Source organism: Homo sapiens, chromosome 10 (genome assembly GCF_000001405.40).
Source record: "Homo sapiens chromosome 10, GRCh38.p14 Primary Assembly".
Lineage (NCBI taxonomy): Eukaryota > Metazoa > Chordata > Mammalia > Primates > Hominidae > Homo > Homo sapiens.
Genome location: NC_000010.11, coordinates 116,756,442 through 116,774,429, shown reverse-complemented (window position 1 = coordinate 116,774,429; position 17,988 = coordinate 116,756,442). Strand labels below are relative to the sequence as shown.

General features: G+C 48.4%; 1 protein-coding gene and 1 long non-coding RNA gene across 4 annotated transcripts in view, besides 1 other annotated feature; both read left to right on the top strand.

The window, feature by feature from the left end:
* HSPA12A (heat shock protein family A (Hsp70) member 12A) overlaps positions 1–17,988 on the top strand; it is a 179,556-nt gene that overhangs the window by 76,318 nt on the left and 85,250 nt on the right. The gene's annotated exons all lie outside the window — the stretch shown is intronic.
* Positions 430–5,625, top strand: LOC105378498 (uncharacterized). The gene is made up of 3 exons (XR_946339.2): positions 430–878; positions 1,911–2,064; positions 4,286–5,625. It is a non-coding gene; the product is annotated as an uncharacterized LOC105378498 (long non-coding RNA).
* Positions 7,046–7,611: an enhancer, noted in NCBI's record as "H3K4me1 hESC enhancer chr10:118526330-118526895 (GRCh37/hg19 assembly coordinates)". NCBI's record gives its function as "activates a minimal SCP1, AML or CMV promoter by ChIP-STARR-seq in primed H9 embryonic stem cells {active_cell/tissue: H9 hESC(primed)}" and the evidence as "EXISTENCE:reporter gene assay evidence [ECO:0000049][PMID:30033119]".

The following is a 17,988-nucleotide window of genomic DNA, read 5'->3' as shown; positions in this document are numbered from 1 at the left end:
GAGTTGTTAATGCTGCTGGTCAGGGACCACACTGGTCAGGGACTGAACTAGGCATTGGTGCAGTATCACCTGGGACCCTCGCAGAGTGCTCTATGGCAAATATTTCAAAAAAGCCCTTGCCGGCCGGGCGCGGTGGCTCACGCCTGTAATCCCAGCACTTTGGGAGGCCGAGGCGGGCGGATCACGAGGTCAGGAGATCGAGACCATCCCGGCTAAAACGGTGAAACCCCGTCTCTACTAAAAATACAAAAAATTAGCCGGGCGTAGTGGCGGGCGCCTGTAGTCCCAGCTACTTGGGAGGCTGAGGCAGGAGAATGGCGTGAACCCGGGAGGCGGAGCTTGCAGTGAGCAGAGATCCCGCCACTGCACTCCAGCCTGGGGGACAGAGCGAGACTCCGTCTCAAAAAAAAAAAAAGCCCTTGCCACAGAGCAGGTTCCCCCACCCCATGTCATAGTGAATGCCACTCAAGACCAAAGAGGGTAAGTAACCTACCCAAGGTCATTCAGCTGAATGGTGGCATAGTTATCATTTGTAATTAGGTCTCCTGGCTCCAAGTCCTCCACCCCGTCACCATGATAATGACCATTGTCAGCATCATCACCATCATCGTCATCATCATTACCACAGGCACTGTGAGCTCCCTGTGGGCTGTTTTGCAGCTTTGCCCCTGCCCAGGACCAGGGACCAGCCAGAGCTTCATAATTGTCAGCTGAGTGGAATCCCTTCTTGGGGCAAGTCAGTGAGAAAGACTTTCTCAGGCTGCAGTTGACAACCCTTGGCTGAGGCCCCCACTGTGAGCTGGGCAGGTTGGCCAGGGAATAAGGAGGAGGAGACTGCTTACTTAGCATCAGTCAAGGTTGAGGGGCCATGGGCCAAGGTGAGGTTCAGAGGTGACAGAAGGGAGGCAGAACTGCTCCCTGGTCATGTTACCTTCTCGAAACCCGCTGGGAGCTGCGAAGGCAATTGTCACTCTCCAGTCTGGCTTTGAGTGACGCACAGCTCCCAGGCCTCCTGTCCTGTCTGCCCGCTAGGCTGTTGTTGCCTGGGGGTACCAGACCAGAGCTGAGGGTTCTGAGAAGGAAATGCAATTTGCTGTTGGTGTACCAGGCCTTCTTCTGTGCTACCATGTACTGCTCAGTGGACTGAAGCCTTTGCTCATTAGCAGGGCCTCATCCCAGGCCAGTTCATCCTGGGCCTCTGGAGGGGCTGGGGAAATGCCTGGGCCCACCTGGGCCTGCTCTTGCCTCCCTGGGACCTTGCCTGCTGTGCAGAGGAAAAGGAGTGGGAGGAAGGAGGGCCCAGGGGGAGTCAACGGGAGCAGCTGGGGCTGCAGTTGTTTGGAAGTCCCCTGGCTCACCCAGACTTTTAGTCTAGCTAGGGTCCCCGGTCCTGACTGAATGAGCCCCTTCTCAGAAGAACCACAGGTGGCCAGGTGCAGTGGCTCATGCCTGTTAATACCAGCACTTTGGGAGGCCAAGGTGGGAGAATTGCTTGAGACTAGGAGTTCAAGACCAGCCTAGGCAGCATAGTGAGACTCTGTCTTTACAAATAATAATAATAATAATAATCAGCCAGATGTGGTGGTGTGTGCCTGCAGTCCCAGCTACTTAGGAGCCTAAGTTGGGAGGATCGCTTGAGCCCAGGAGGTTGAGGCTGCAGTGAGCCGTGATCACACCACTGCACTCCAGCCTAGGCAATAGAGAGGGAGACCCTGTCTCCAAATAAATAAATAAATAAATAAACAAATAAATAAAATAAAGATAGAAAGGAAAAGAAAAAGAAGAACCACAGGCTTTCCTAGAGCAGAGATAGGGCCCAGGGATAAAACTTGGAACTTTGGAGCCAGACAGCTTCGGGCCTCATTTGCTCTCGTGCCTTCAAGTTGTGATTTAACTTCTCTGGGTCTCAGTTTCAGCATCTGCAAAAGGGCTGTTACAAATATTCCCTGAAAGCATCTTCCTGGAGACAGAGCTCTGAGTTTGGGCCTGGCATGCAGCTCCACAGAGTCTGCTCAGCATTTTCTGCCAGCAGAGCCAGCCCTGCTGGTCCCAGGAGCAAGTGGGGTAGAGTCTGAGATCCTCTTCTTCTGCCAAGTGTTGGGGCTCTGGGGCTCTGGGGGTCTGTCCTGGGATCTCCTCTCTTCACCTGTACACAGGATCCAAGATCAGCTCCTCCACTCAATGGCTTCACAGTACCCCCTGCCCCAGCACTGATGATCCCTGAACCCACGTGATCCAGCCTTATCTGGACATCTCCACTTGCATGTCCCAGAGACACCCAGGTCATTTAGTGTCCCAAGGCGGGAACACCATCATCCTCGCCACTACCCCCGCTCCCGTCCTGTGCTGTCATCTCAGGGAATGGCCTGGCATCCAGCCTCGTCCTGCCTCTGCCCTCTCCCATGTTAAGCTTATTGAGTGTAGCTCACCTGGAAATGTGGAGATGGGAAATACGGTGGGGACTGTTCAGGTGTGGCCGTGGCTGAGACAGCACAGCTGCTGGAGCAGCCTGCCTGGACTGGAGTTGGCATCAATATAGGCCCCAGAGGATGCCACCTCCCCACCGCCCCCAGCAGTTCTCCCAACTCCATGCTTCTGGAACCCAAGGCACCTTGGGGGTGCACTCTCACCATTGTCCCCTTTTCTGCCTTTCTATCTGGGCCCCTTGTAGGTTGACAAGCAAGCGCCCCTTGTTTGGGAGAGAAACCTCCATCCACTGCAGAGAGAAACTGCAGGGACTGCCTCTCATCCACCCCGTCCCTGGGCTCCTGGTAAACATGCTGGCAGGCAGGGATTTCCCATGATGGAATTTCGCAATTGCCGTCCCATCCTTTTGGATGTATTCATTCCGGAAACATCCTCCCGGGGGCCCTCTGTCTAGGCCCTGGAAATGATTCAGACCCAGGCTCTGCCCTGGCCTCTTTCGTTGCTTAAAATATTCCAGTGGCTTCTCTTCCTTCCTCAGTTCCCATTTCAGCTCCCGGAGGAGGGTGACCCTTCACCCAGGCCTGTCACTGGCTTTGCTGGTGGGCTCACCCCTAGGTTTTCAGTTTTGGCCTCTGGCCCCAGTATCTCGTCAGGGCCCCTGTCCTCCCCTCCCCTCTGTGTGGCCTCCACAGCCAGCGGCTGCTGATGGCCCCAGCTCCCAGCGAGTGTCCTTGTTTTATCTCGCCTGTGAATGTGCCTCTTCAGAGCGTGTCACTGGGGCAGCCCAGTCAGGCCCTATGTTGGAGGCAAAATGGGCAGGGCCTTTGAACCGTGGACTTGGGGCATCTCTGGGTTGCTCTGAGCCTGCGCCCACCTCTGTCTCCATCTACAGACTCGGGAGCCACAGTCCAGGGTTTGCAAACTGAGGCCCCTTGAGCACACTTGAGAATGCCCCACCCCAACCCTGCAGTCCACTGCCCCCTCCCCCAGCACACACAGCCCACAGCCCCACTCCAACCCTGCAGTCCACTGCCCCCTCCCCCAGCACACACAGCCCGCAGCAGCCAAAAGAAGTCATTCTTCCTTTTAAAAGTAAAAATCTCCCCCAAGAGAGGCTTGTTAAGTGACCCGAAGGCATCCTTAGAAAAGGCTTTCAGGCATTTGAGGCTTCCATGTTTAAAGCAAATTCACAGAAAGTTGAGGTTGGTGAGGGGAGGCTGGGCCCCTTGTTTCCAAGAGCAGAGGGCTGTCCCGAGCACCTGGGGAGGGGCTTATGGGAACAGTGCACAGGAGGTTGGAGGAGAGATGGTGGGGACAACCCGGCAGCCATGGACCTTTATGAAGAGCAGACTCTAGCACTCCAGCTGGAGCTCGGCGTCTCTGCCACTGGCCTCCTACCACCTTGCCTCAGTCCTCCCTCACCCCCACCCCACCTTGCTGCCTCATGGGTCCATTTCCTGCCGCCCCCTGTGCCACCTGGCTTTGAGCTATCATCCTGAAACATGCTGCATCCTTCCCTGAGCATCTCACACATTCCCAGACCCAAGGAGGGCATCGGACTGGCCCCACCAGGTGCTGGGTGTCCGCTGAGCCTCTGATCCGCCCCTTCACAAGCACACAGCGTGGCCTCTGCGGGACCTCCCCACATCTGCCCCTTCGGTCTGTACTGGCGGGTCTGCAGGAAGCCTTTCATCTGAGGGCTTCCTTTGAACTTCACCAGCAGCTCTCACAGGGGCCGCATAAGCCAAACTCTTGGTAATCATTCAAGAGCCAGAGACCCCTGCCCTGTTTTTGGTGTCTGTGTGACCATGGCAAGTCACCGCCCTCTCTGAGTCTTGGTTTTTGCATCCACCACAAGGGCTCACATAAGACCTCCTCCATCAGGCTCTTCTGAGGATCAATGGAACTATGACGGCATGTTCAGCACCCTGCCCCAAGGACAAACTCTCTCCTTACTTGCCTCATTCTGCTCTGAGTCAGAGGAATGGCCCAAATGACCTTGGAGCTCTGTGGCGTCATCGCTTCTTGCAGCCTTCCCTGGAGAGCTGACTCTCAAGCGAGCATACCCAGCTGGAAGGCGGAAAGAATTTTAAGCACAAGGAGCCGAGGCCTGCACTTGAGCAAATGTCTTCTTCAGCCTACATTTTCTTCCGAACACCCCAAGCAACTATGGAAACCCAACCTGTGGAGAGTAAAGGGGCTTCAGAAGGGTTTTGTGTGTTTCTCTCCCTGTTGTCTTTGGAGCGCTGCTTCGTGCATCTCCAGGAGAGTTGATAACTGAATCAATAGCTGTTTTGCTCTAATTTATTGAGCTCTATTGCCTAAACCTAATTAGCATGTTTCTGAGCCATGAAGTGCTCTAAGTCCTGCACTTAGACGGGGAATCGATCCTGCAGCTGCCCTGGGCCGAGCCAATGTCAGGGAAAGGGATGGGGGTGGTGGCATCATTCCAGTAAAATTGAGAGCCAGACAGGAAGACACAGCCCAGGAGAGCAACATCCTGGTGCTTTCGCCACCCCGGGCCCCAGCCCTCAAGGTGGGGACCTTTCACCCCAAGTCCTGGCCCTCAAAATGGGAGACCATAGGGGTCTACATTGGAGAGCCAACCCCACTGCTTGGCAGCTGGGTGCTTGACTTTCTCTAAGCCTTTGTTTCCTTGGCTGGAATGAGGGTCTGGTGATGACACCATAGCAAGGGGTGGGGAAAGCATTCCTTAAGAAGACCCCACCAAGCCCACACCTTAGTCTTGTCTGATTGCTAAGAGGGGGCTCTCTAGGTCCAGCATAGAGTCCAAGTGACCTCACAGGAAGGTTTGTGGCTGGAGGAAGGGGAGGTCAAGTGATGATTGGTCAGTCAGAAGATCCTAGTGGTGGCTGGGCCAGGGGACTTCTAAGGACAGAGGTATTGAATGGTCCGATGTTTGTGTCTCACTGTGCTGTGCTGGATGTCACTTTCCACACCTGCTTTGAAAGTCTGCAGCGGGCAAGAATCACAACGTCCAGTCCTACAGGTCAGGCCAGTGTGGATGAGAGAGTGTGCTCACAGGAAGCAGAGGGTGACACACAGCAGGGCAGTCCCAGGAAGCAGAGACTTGGAGTTAAAGATAACTCAGAGGAACAAGCTGGCCCTGCAATAGGGGGCTGTGCTAAGGCCAAAGTCAGGGTGATGTCAGCAGGCTGCTTTAAAAAAAAATAATTGAGCCGGGCTAAGTGGCTCACACCTGTAATCCCAGCACTTAGGGAGGCTGAGGTGGGAGGATGACTTGAGGCCAGCAGTTCAAGACCAGTCTCTGCAACATAGTGAGACTGCCCCCAACTCTACAAAAATAAAAGAATTAGCCAGGCTCCTGTAGTCCCAGCTACTCAAGAAGCTGAGACAGGAGGTTCACTTGAGCCCAGGAGTTCGAGGTTGCAGTGAGCCATGATTGCACCACTCCTCTCCAGCCGGGAGTGGAGGCTATATATTTATTCTGAGACAGGGTCAAATAAATTGAGACATTTACATAACATAAAATTTACCATTTTAAAGTGTACAAGTCAGTGGGTTTTGGATATTCACTGTGTTGTGCAAGCATCACCATTGTCTAATTCAGAACATTTTCATCACCCCAAAGAGAAACCCTGTACCTATTAGCAGTTGCTCCTATTCCCCCTCCCCACAGCCCCTGGCAAGCACTAATCTGCTTTCTGTCTCTATGGATTTGCCTACTCCAGGCATTTCATATAAATGGAATCAAACAGTATGTGGTCTTTTGCATCTGGCTTCTTTCACTTAGCGTAATGTTTTCAAGGTTCATTCATGTCGTAGCATATATCAGTACTCTATTCTTTTTTATGGCTGAATAATGTTCTACTGTATGGAGAGAACACATTTGATCCATTCACCCGTGGATGGATGCTTGGGTTGTTTCTACTTTTTGGCTGTTGTGAACAGTGCTGCTGTGAACACTTGTGTCCACGTTACTGTGTAAACTTAGATTTTTGGTTCTCTTGGATATATACCTAGGAGTGGACTTGGGGGGCCATTTGATAATTCTATGTTTAACTTTTTGAGGAACTGCCAAACTTTTTAAGGCTGTTTTTGTAGCCCTGCCTCTGAGATACTGGGGGTACACGTGATTAGAAGAGGTAGTTACTCCCTTTTGAAAGAGGCTGCAATTAGGGAACATAGTGCCGAGAGACAGAGTTCACAGAGCCCTTGGTAAATTAGCCCAGATGGCATCATGCTGTCATGAAGCCACACACGGCATCAGAAGCAAAGGGGTCTCTTGCCTGGGATTTTGGTTAAAGCCCCCTTGTGGCCTGGACTTCTGAGTCTGGGTTCTGAGCCAAAGAGGCTTAAAGCACTGGTGATGGTGCAGAGTTAACCAACAACCTCCCCTCCCTTGTTTTGGATTTCTGTGGACAAATTAAAAACTCACTGTGCCCCACCCAGTCTGTTTGCAGCAGGAATGTGGGGCTGGCCTTGCTGGCTGAGGCTAGTGGGAGCAGAGAAGGGAGGGGCCGGGAGATAATGTTGGGGAGGCTCCCGAGGCCCCAGGGCCAAGCCTCCACCCAGCAGCTGGGGTGGATGACCCTCTCCTGTCTGCTCTGCCTTAGCTCTGCAGGGACAGTGCTGCTTGTCTGCACCGTCACTGGTGGGGGAGGGGTGCAGGATGGGAGGAAGGGGGATGAACACAGTGCCTGAGCCAAGGAGAATAAATCAGTGGATGAGCCTTCTTCCAGGCAGCCCTCTGGCCTCTTCCAGTCTCCGTGGCCCAGGCTCTTGTCCTCTGGTTGCCTCTTTGCTGCCTCTTTTCAGGACCTCGTTCCCCAGGGCCACTGTTTCCTCCAGGCCAATGAGGAGAGGAGACACTGTGAAGCAGACTCATCAGGAACCTGCTAGAACCAGATCAGGTGCCCCCGCTCTAGCCCCCAGAGGCCTGCAGCCCTCCACTCCCCACCCTAGCCCATCTCAGGGTCATGAACTGCAGGGGCAGACCCCAGCAGGCGTTCCCTCCTCAGTTCCCTGGGGACTGCGTCTCCACTTCCCCTCCGCGATGGGCTTGGCTGTCAGCCTGATGGATCTTTTTGGGGTCGACTGGTGGACGCAAACCCAGCAGTTCCCTGGGGGCCCTACGGGTGCCAGTGTGAGCTTTTTCTTTTTAAGTTCCTAGCATTTTATTTAAAGGAAATGTCTCAACAAAATTGTTAGTTATTAAATGATGCGGCCAGAGTAGGTAAAAGATTATTTGAACCAAAGATGAGTGAATGGCATTCCTTACTCCTAGCAAGAGTGAGTTTGAAGAGAAACATGATTAAAAGAATGGGATTCCCATGAGCCATGCCAAGCTGATTGAATTGTGGGGAGGAAATGACAATCTGGGTTAATTTTTAATGTCATTTCCAGGCAGTTAAAACCACTGAGGGAGCAATGAACTTTCTTCTGAATGCCTCCAAGAAGGGGACCAGGCAGTCTCTGTGAGGGCTGTGGGGCAGCTTTGTCTGAAGATGCAGATGGGCAGAAGTGTCCCTTTCTTACAGGACGTTAAGTTGGAGGTGGGAGCTGGGTAGGGGCATCCAGAGGAGCTTTTGAAAGTGAGTAAAGTCCTCCAGGAACACATTTTGGCTCCTCTCCAAGCCAGTAGCCACTTTGCTCCCAGGTAGGGCGACCACCTGTCCCTGTTGGCCCAGGACTGAGGGAGTTCTCGGGTTGCAAGAATTTCAGTTTTTCAACCAGGGCAGTCCTGGACAAACCGGGATGAATTGGTCATCCTAACCAGCAGCCTAGGACCCAGGACTTTCAGTGTCCAAAGTGAAAAAGTCTCAGGGAAAACTGGATGAATTGTTCATGCCCCAGTGTCAGGGCAGCTACTCATGATCACACTCAGCACTGAAGGTGGACAAGGGAGGAGAGGGGGCAGAGGAGGTGGAGAGCAGGAAAGGTGGGAAGGTGAATGTGGCCGAATGGTGAGAGGGAGTGTGTGCCGTCAAACAGGACCTGGTTGCATGAAGGGTGGCTCATCCGTGCGTTGGAGCCACAAGCGGCTGCAGAGAGGAATGCAGCAGTTCCACAGCTATGAAGCAATGTCCAAGTACCAGGTTGCAAAGAGGAAAAACCAAGGTGCAGAACAGCATATGGTATGTTCCTGTTGGGCAAAAAGTGGAAAGAATATGTTTGTCTGTGTTTGTCTACGCTAAGGCAAGACTGGGAACACTGGGTGAAGAACTGAGAGGCATTTCATTGTAAACCCTCCCTAGGGGGCGCCATCACCACCCTCGAGAACAGCAGGCTATGGCAGGTTTCTCAGCATCTAACGGGTGTGTCCTGCCCCACACGTGTGTGTCTTCTTTCCTTCAACTTTTAATCCTGAAAGTTCTCAAACCTACAGAGGAATTATAAGAATAGTGCAATCAACACTCATGTACCTCTAAAAATCTTCCTTTCTGCCCTCTTTCTGTAAATATCTTTTATTTTTAATATGATTATGGACTTCTAGGTCTATTTTAAAAATTCAGTTTATTGTAATAAATTACTACCATTATTCCTTTTTCCCCCTCCTATGGTCCCGGATTTGGCCAGTGGGAGCTCCTTCTTGCTGGCCTTTCTGTGTTTTTAGTATTGCCTCCTTGGTCTTTCAGCCCTTCTGCCACTATATGATGTTTCAGGTTTTATTTTACTTATTTAATTTAAATTTTTTTTGATGTTTCAGGTTTAATTTGGACTTTTCCTACCCTAGTCCTGGAATCAGCTATATCACCAAGGAGCCCATGTGCTTTTGGGTGGGGAATGGTATTTAGAAACCAAAACCTGGGCACTAGGTGTGCTCATTGTCACTGGAGTGTCATTGCTTCTAGGTCTTTCCAGAGAACAGAACTAAGCTGTTCTCAAAACCATGAGTACATACAGATGTACCCAGTAGCATGCATTTACCTCACCTTTCCCCATTCTATGTTTGCATCTCTCCTCTCCAAAGTCAAAACACTGGTCCCCACATCACATCTTTACTCATTTATTCAATCCTTCACTACACAAAAGAATAGTTTCAGAATTACAGCACCAATACTTCTATCCCCAACAAGCCTGCTAAATGAAGTTCAAGATTTCTTTGTGTTCTTTTTATCATTAGAAAATGTATATTAAAGATACACAGTTAGAGTACTACATCCAAAATTACTTGAATTAATGATTTTTTTGTGTGGCTATATTGTATCTCTACTACTCATATGATGGATAGTAAGGTTTATTTGTTTCTATTTATGTCAAATATAGGGTTTGCTCTTTAAAAACCCTTTGGATTTAAATTGATTTTCGGGTATATAAAGCACTCCAAGTCAAAACTGTATAAAAAGATATAAAAACTATAAAAAGACATCATAAGATGTCTCACCATCATCCCCATCCCTTTCACTCTGCCCCCTCCATTTTGTTAGTTTCTAGTGTATGGCTGTTGTGTTTGTTTTTGCAAAACTAAACATAAATATATATGTATATTTCCCCACTCCTTTTTAACACAAAACATAGAATACTCTCTTTATGTAGTCTTTTGTATTTTGCTTGTTTTTCTTAACATGTCCTAGAAATTGCTCCATGTCTATTGATAGGGCTTTTCTTCATTTATTTCTATGACTGCATAGAATTTCATTGAGTGAATCTACCATATTGTATTTTCAACTTGTCTATGAATGATCATTTATGTTGTTTCCACTATTTTGCAATCACAATTCAGCCTACGATAATAACCTTTCACATTGTTGGTTTGTATTTGTAGGTAGATTCCTAGATATGGGGTTGCTGGATCAAAGTATAAATCTATAATACATGCAGCTATGGCTTCCATAAAAGTAGTGCCAGTGGAAAGACTTTTTCCATAGTGAGTTAGAAGGAAATTCACCACTGCCTTGGGAGCTGTAATAGAGGGTCCCATGAGGAGGCAGGGGAGGTCCCATGAGACTCAGCCCTGGCACTGGATAAATCCTGACATTAACTCATTTGTAGCCTCCAGTCATAGACTTCCTGGAACACCCCCCCAAAGGTTGCAGGGAAGTGAGAGAGGCTCATTGCCGACCGCCCCCCCAATAACGCCATGGTCCTATCAGTGTCTACATTTTACTCATGCTTTTTCTTTCTCCACAAAAGCCTGCTGTGCCCCAGCTTCCAACCAGTGGCTTTCATAATTTATGATTATTTTGGACAAAAATAAAGCTTCAGTCTATGCTGTCCTTAAATCTGACTTTCTTAGAAACCTCAGATGATCTTTTCCAATTCAGTTGAATCTTGTAACCCAAAAAAACCTCCTAGTCCAGAGCACATTTTGTTCATGAGGGAGAGAAAAATGACCCCTTTGTGTCTGCCTGGAGATGGCCCCAAGTTGGGACTGGAGCCAGCTATGTCTTTGCCCAGGGCCAAGGCCTCAAATAGAGGGTCCCCTGGCCCCACCCTGCTGGGGGCAGTTCCACCCAGATTCTGGGAAGCTGGGGACCTGCCCTGTATGCATGGAGAGACTGGATCATATCGCACTATACAAACAGAAGCGATGTATGCAGAAGAAAGAGGTCTGCAGAGGCTACTATCAGAATGTGAGCAGTATTATCTGGGGGTAGGGGTTTTTCACAAGAGATTTTTCTTTACATTTCTTGTCAGTTATTATTGCTTGAAAATGATCGTGTTTCACCGGTGTCATTTGAAAACATTTTATTTTAAAATATTAGCTAAAAGATCATTTGGCTTCTCCTAGCCCATATGTACATTGAGATAGAAAAGCAAAGCCAGATCCATTCAGAAGCAGCAAGTTTCCACCATGCCTGAGTTCAAGTTGAATACTAAGTTGGGCTGCCTCCTACCAACACCAGGGTATATCTTTTCATACCCTGTCAGCTCTGTCACCATCAGCAACAAAACTTCTTTATGCATTTACCATGTGTCTGGAGCTGTGCTAGAGGTGACCATGATGTAGCTACTGTCCTTAAGATGGTGGCAGCTGAGTGTCAGGTACAGACATACCCAAGTCATTGCTGAGTGTAAAGAGAGAACTGCCTTAGAGGAGGAAAAGAGAGTTTTGTTCAAGATAAGGATGAGGGCAAATGATTACCAGGGAAGACTTCCCAGAGGAGGGATGCCCTACTGAATTTTGAAAGAGTAAGAGGAAGGCCAGGCATGGTGGCTCATGCCTGTAATCCCAGCACTCTGGAAGGCTAAGGCAGGTGGATCATTTGAGCTCGAGACCAGCCTGGCCAACATGGCGAAACTCCATCTCTACTAAAAATACAAAAATCAGCCAGACGTAGTGGCATGTGCCTGTAGTCCCAGCTAGCGGGGAGACTGAGGCAGAAGAATCGCTTGAACCCAGGAGGTGAAGGTTGTAGTGAGCCGAGACTGTGCCACTGCACTCCAGTCTGGGTGACAGAGCGAAACTCTGTCTCAAAAAAATAAAAAAAGAAAGAGTAAGGGGAGTTTCTAAGGCGAGAAAGAGGACCAGAGTGGGTTTTCCAGGCAGTGTGGAAATGCAGGCATGTGAGATGCAGAGGATGTGGAGTAGGAGGGTCATGGGTCATGCTGGACCCACAGCATGGCCATTGTGACTTCATCCTGTAAGGGATGAAGAGGAAGTCAAGATTTAAAATAGAGGCAAGCCATGATCAGGTATGTATTTTACAAAAAAAGAAAAACATACACACCTTTGCAGCAGGGTAGAAATGGATTAGGGGTGAGGGATTGGGACCAGAGGCAGGGAGATGAACTGACAGTCATCCAGGTGGGAAGTGACAAGGTCTTCATCTGAGGAGGTGCCCACAGGGCTGATGAGGAGCCATTCTGGAAGTCTGTATGGTCTGGTGACCAACAGGATAGGAGAGTGAGGCAGGGGACAGGCCAGGCGGCTTATGCTACGCCAAAGGTCCGTGAGGACAAGGGCCACGCTGTATTTGGAGCCTAGCACAGTGCCTAGCATGTGAAAGGAACTCAGTGAATATTGGTATATAAGCTGCAAAAAACTGGGCTGTCGTCCAGGCCAGCCTTAGCACAATGTTGCATTCAAAGACTAGCACAACATCCAAAAATAATTGAAAGCAAATTGAAACTTTCCTGTAGTCTCTCAAGAAAATGTAAAGGGGAACATTCTTAACATCCAGCAAAACCTGAAAAATCCTTTTTTTTTTGTTATCACTGCCTGCTTCTCCCTCCCCTACCTCTCATTTTCTCATATTCCTGATAGCCACCTCTAGCATCTCTCTCCTCTCTAGGTTTGTGAACTTTCTTCTTAGGGTCTGTTCTGTTTTTCCTTCCACCTTCACGTTTTAGATCAAGGATTTTGTTTTGTTTTGAAACAGTCTGGCTGTGTCACCGAGGCTGGAGTCCAGTGGTACGATCTCTGCTCCTGGGCTCAAGCTATCCTCCAGCCAGACGTGCACTACCATGCTTGGCTAATTTCTTCGTTTTTTTTTTTATTTTTTTTACTTTTTTTAGATGAGTTCTTCACTACGTAGATGAGTTCCTCACTAGTTAGCCTGGCTAATTTTTGTTCTTTTTTTTTTTTTTGAGATGGAGTCTCTTGCTCTGTTGCCCAGGTGGGAGTGCAGTGGTGTGATCTCGGCTCACTGCAATCTCCGTCTCCCAGATTCAAGTGATTCTTCTACCTTAGCCTCCCAAGTAGCTGGGACTACAGGTGTGCGCCACTATGCCCAGCTAATTTTTGTATTTTTAGTAGAGACGGTGTTTCACCATGTTGCCCAGTCTGGCCTCGAACTCCTAACCTCAAGTGATCCACCTGCCTCGGCCTCCCAAAGCGCTGGGATTACAGGCATGAGCCACCGCTCCCAGCCTAATGTTTGTATTTTTAGTAGAGACAGAGTTTCACCATGTTGGCCAGGCTCATCTCGAACTTCCAGGCTGAAGTGACTCACCCACCTCTGCCTCCCAAAGTGCTAAATTACAGGCATGAGCCACCATACCCAGCTTAGATCAAGGATGTTTTTAAAAATTTATTTATTTTACTTTTTTCTTTTTTTTTAACCTCTATGAGAATTATAGTTCTTTTCCCCACGTACATCTAGCTAGCCTCTGGCTTCTCTAGTTGAGCGCATATTTGCATGTGTTTTATCCTTTATCTCCGTTGTTATCCTAGAAACCCAAACACCAAGAAAAAGCAGGGAGAGGGGACGACTGCCTACACTTATACTTTAATACCATTTGTTTTGTTATGTGAATAAATAAGCTAATGTTTCCAGCAGATATTGGGAATATCCGTCCCTTGCACTTTGTGGCATTAACAGAGTAGAAAGTACTTTCACAAATATCATTCTGTGTAATTACGCAAAAACCCTGGGTAATGCTATTAGTGTTCTCATTTTACAAAAAAAAGAAAACTGAGGTGTTGAGAAGTGATGTGATTTGGAATTTGATAATTCATTGAGCAAGTACATGGGGACTTGTGGCTTATGTCTAGGACCCCCGAGTTCAGTGGGATGTCTTGAGTTTGAGGGCACATTCATGTGTTTTCTTTCCAGTCCTGCTGGGAGCAAGGAGATTCCAGGGACTGACTGATCAGAGGTGTGGAGTGACTTATTTAAGGTCACACAGCTAGTCAGAGGATTGCTATGAATCCAGTTTCTGACTCTTGATCCTGGGTTCTAAACTCCAGGGCTCTGTGCACTGTTCTTAGGCTGCTACCAGCCTGGGAGAGTGAAACAGGGAGCTCTCGGTGCCCTTGAATCTGATGGGCTGGTTAGAGTTCTTTGGCTGCAAGTAATAGAGACTGGGTCTGGCTATTGAAGCTATAAAAAAGAATGTACTAGAAAGATATGGGGCAGCTCGTATAATTACCAAAGAAGCTGATTAACCATGACTTGAAGAGGACAGGTTCCTGGGCTGAGGGCCTCAAGGAAGAGCTCATCCTTCAGAGCAAAAATAGGTGCTGCTCTGGCAGAATGAGAATGAGTGGATCCTGGGTAAGCACTGTATTAGTCTGTTTTCATACTGCTGATAAAGATATACCCAAGACTGGGCAATTTACAAAAGAAGGAGGTTTAATGGGTTCATAGTTCCATGTGGCTGGGGAGGCCTTACCCTCATGGTGGAAGGTGAAAGGCACATCTCACATGGCGGCAGACAAGAGAACAGAACTTGTTCAGGGAAACTCCTCTTTATTAAACCATCAGATCTCATGAGACTTATTCATTATCATGAGAATAACATGGGAAAGACCCAGCCCCATGATTCAATTACCTCCCACCAGGTCCCTCCCACAACATGTGGGAATTGTGGGAGCTACGATTTAAGATGAGATTTGGGTGGGGACACAGCCAAACCATATCAAGCAGAAACCACTGAATTCCACCTGAGGAGATGTCTTCTATCCCTCTGCAACCCCAGTACTGAATGCTGTCAAAGCCACTGTCATTTACTCAACATCCATTTCCCCCTTATTCCCTGATGGAAGAGCCCTGAATTTGTTCATCCTCATGGAAGGTGACCCTGTCCCCAGCTCAGAGGTAAGCCCAGATCCACTTAAACCAATTAAGGTAACTCCATTGTCCTTGCCTGTCATTGGTTTAGACTTCAGAGTGGTCATGAGATCTAGTTCTGTCCAATAAGAAGTGAGGAGAGGTTGGCTGAGGGGATTCTGAGAAGAAAGACCCACAAGAAGACATATTAACATCTTCCTCTTGACACTGAATGGCTCCAAAGCACACAGGGAGGGGCAGCTGCCATTTTGCTGACCTCCTGAGGTCAAGCTAACAGTGAAACTGGGCAGAGCCACAGAGATGGAGACAGAACTACCTCTGAAATGACTTGTTATTGAGTTAGGACTTTTGATTATTTGCAGCTGGATATACCTTAATGGATACAGAAACTTTCTTGGATAGAAGGGCAGATTTATTCTGCATTACTCCAGAGGGTGAAATTAAGACCAAAGAGAAAACAGCTATGAGAGGAAGAGCTGGCTGACATCTCTCTGAGACGAGGGAATGTGCTGTTTCTTCAGGTCCTGAGTTCCCATCAAAAGAGAATCTGAAACAAGCCGGCTGTCTGGGGTGCAGCAGAAGGGGTTTCTGCATCAACATCACCTTTAAAGTTCCTTCTGACCTTGAACTTCCAGGATTCTGTTGTCAGGAACCAGGATCTAGAATCAGCCGAGGCCTGCCTTCACCCCAGAGCATTCCACAGGATCAGGCTTTTCTATTTTCTACTCATCTGAGTCCACACTCTTTATTTCCTTGGTTTTAAATTCAGTTTCTCTAATTCTTCAAAAAACTTGAGCAAGCTCTGTGTGTTGCTATCTGTTCTTAGAGTCTTTGAGAAACATTTGATAAATATATATATATTATTTCTTTTTATCTCACTTCCTCTCTTTCCCTCTCTCTAAAATGCACACACAATCACACATGTATACACATGCACACAAACACAAATGATCCACAGGCAGGGATTCTAACTGGAAAACAGGAACCATCTCCGCTGGCCTCATATTCCTGTAACCCATGACTTCCCTGTATCATGGAGCTGTCCAGTAAGATGAGCTCTGGACTTGAAGTGATAAGTGATGTGGGTGTGAATTCCAGCCATGCCACCTCCTGGCCGGGTGGTCCTGGGCAACTCATTTGCTTTCTGGACCTCAGCTCAGAGTTCACCTAGTGAATTAGCCTCCCAGAGCTTGGCACATAGTAGGTGATTCATAAACGGCAATCAGAAGTCACAGGGCAATGCATTGAGGAGGCCTGGACATGGGCAGAGTGAAAGGGGAATGAGTGTGGGGCAAGGGTGAGCAGAGCTAGCGATGCTTCTCAGAAGGCAGGACATGGGTCTGAAAGAGACTGAAATCCATGTATCAAGGTACCTTCGCTGAAGGCTGTTAGGTACCTAGCATTAAGACATCCTTTCCAACCTCATCCTCTGCTTCTAAACCACCTATCCCACTTCTGTTGAGTGGATTTTAAATAATCATTTATTGATCCTGTTCTTGTTATAAAAGAAAAACATGTTACTTATTGAAAATGTTGTGGGGGTGGAGAAGTGGGAAGAAAAAAATAAGTCACTTGTCATCTTACTATGCAGAGGCTACTCCTATTGATATGTTAGTGCATTGCTTTCTAGTCTTTTAAATGCACAATTTTATATGCACATATCTCATAGGTAGAGAAGTAGATAGATGGGATTTGTATTTATCTGGATGTGGCCATTCTAATAGGTCGCTCAGTCTCTAATCAATAGCAGCTGACAATCCTTGGCTCTTTGGTGTTATCACTGTCCCTGCACATGTATGAACTCGTTTAATCTTCATCACATCCCTATGAAGTAGGTACAGTTATTATTCCCATTTTACAGGTGACCAAACCAAGGTACCAAGCAGTGCCCAAAGTCACAGAGCAAGAAATCAAACCCAGGCCAGTGCTCTTAACCCTGACCTCCGCTGCCTCTCTTTCTTCCTGGTTTCAGCCTGAAAGACATTCTGTCTCCAGGTGATTTTGCATTTGTCCAACCTCCTGCCGTGTGCGGATGATGAATGTAACTCTGGAGTGCCTCCCTCTCACTCTTTGCTGTTGAAGGGAAGGGCATTTGGAGGGAAGTCAGGTGACCTTGGGAGAGGGGCCTGGTTGTCTACACGGGTACACTCAGCGTCGCCCTACATGGACGGTTTCTGGTGTCTGGATTTTGATCATCAGCCCTGTCACTTGGACCTGGAGGGGTCAGCCCATGCGAGAGCTGCTTCTCCCTGGGAGACTCATGCTGTTAACCCAGCTCCTGGGACACAGGCAAAATCCGTAACACTAACGTGCCAATTCACAGAGAGAACTCCAGGAATCCTGAGGGGCCTCCTCCCATTTGCAGGTCATCCCCCATTTCCCCCAGCTAAGCCTACTGTGGCAGCGGTGGCTTGGTTACCAGTCTGAGCACCAGAGTGGTCAGAGTTCCAGGTCTCAAGCTTTTTTGCTGACCATCCTTAAACAAGTTATTGAACCTTTCCTGTGCCTCCATTTCCTAGCCTTTAACGTGAATATAATACTATTACCTGTCTCTAGGGTTGTTGGAAGATTAAGTGAATTAAACATAATCCACAATGAGTTACATACGCCATGGAGAAGGCCTAGAAGGATGCCTGGCATCTAGTAAGTGCTCAATATTAGCTTTTGATACTGATGCAACTTTACACCTGGACTGGCCCACCCTCAATTCATTGGAAGTTGTATTCTCTTGTTTTCCATCTCCCACTGAAGACCATCAACTGTGTTTTCCCACCTTTGTATTTATCCTTGTAATACATAACAGACCCTTAATCCATGCTTGTTTTAGTGCACAAATGAGTGAATGAATGAATGAACTCCCACTATGTAGATCTATAAACCTTTCAAAACGGTTTGCAAAGTCTGAGCACTTATCAGATTCTCAAAGGAGCACAAGATTCAGAACAGGCTGAGAGGCGGCTGCAGGCCTTGGGTTATGGGGGTAGAGTGAGCCCCACCCACATGGGCCGGTGCCCAGAGGGTGCCCGTGTGCCAAGGCGAGCAGGCTCAGGGAAGGGCAGCCATTCTGAGCTCACTCTTGGGGCCTCAGAAGGCCTTTTGTGGGGACTGACATTTCCTGTCC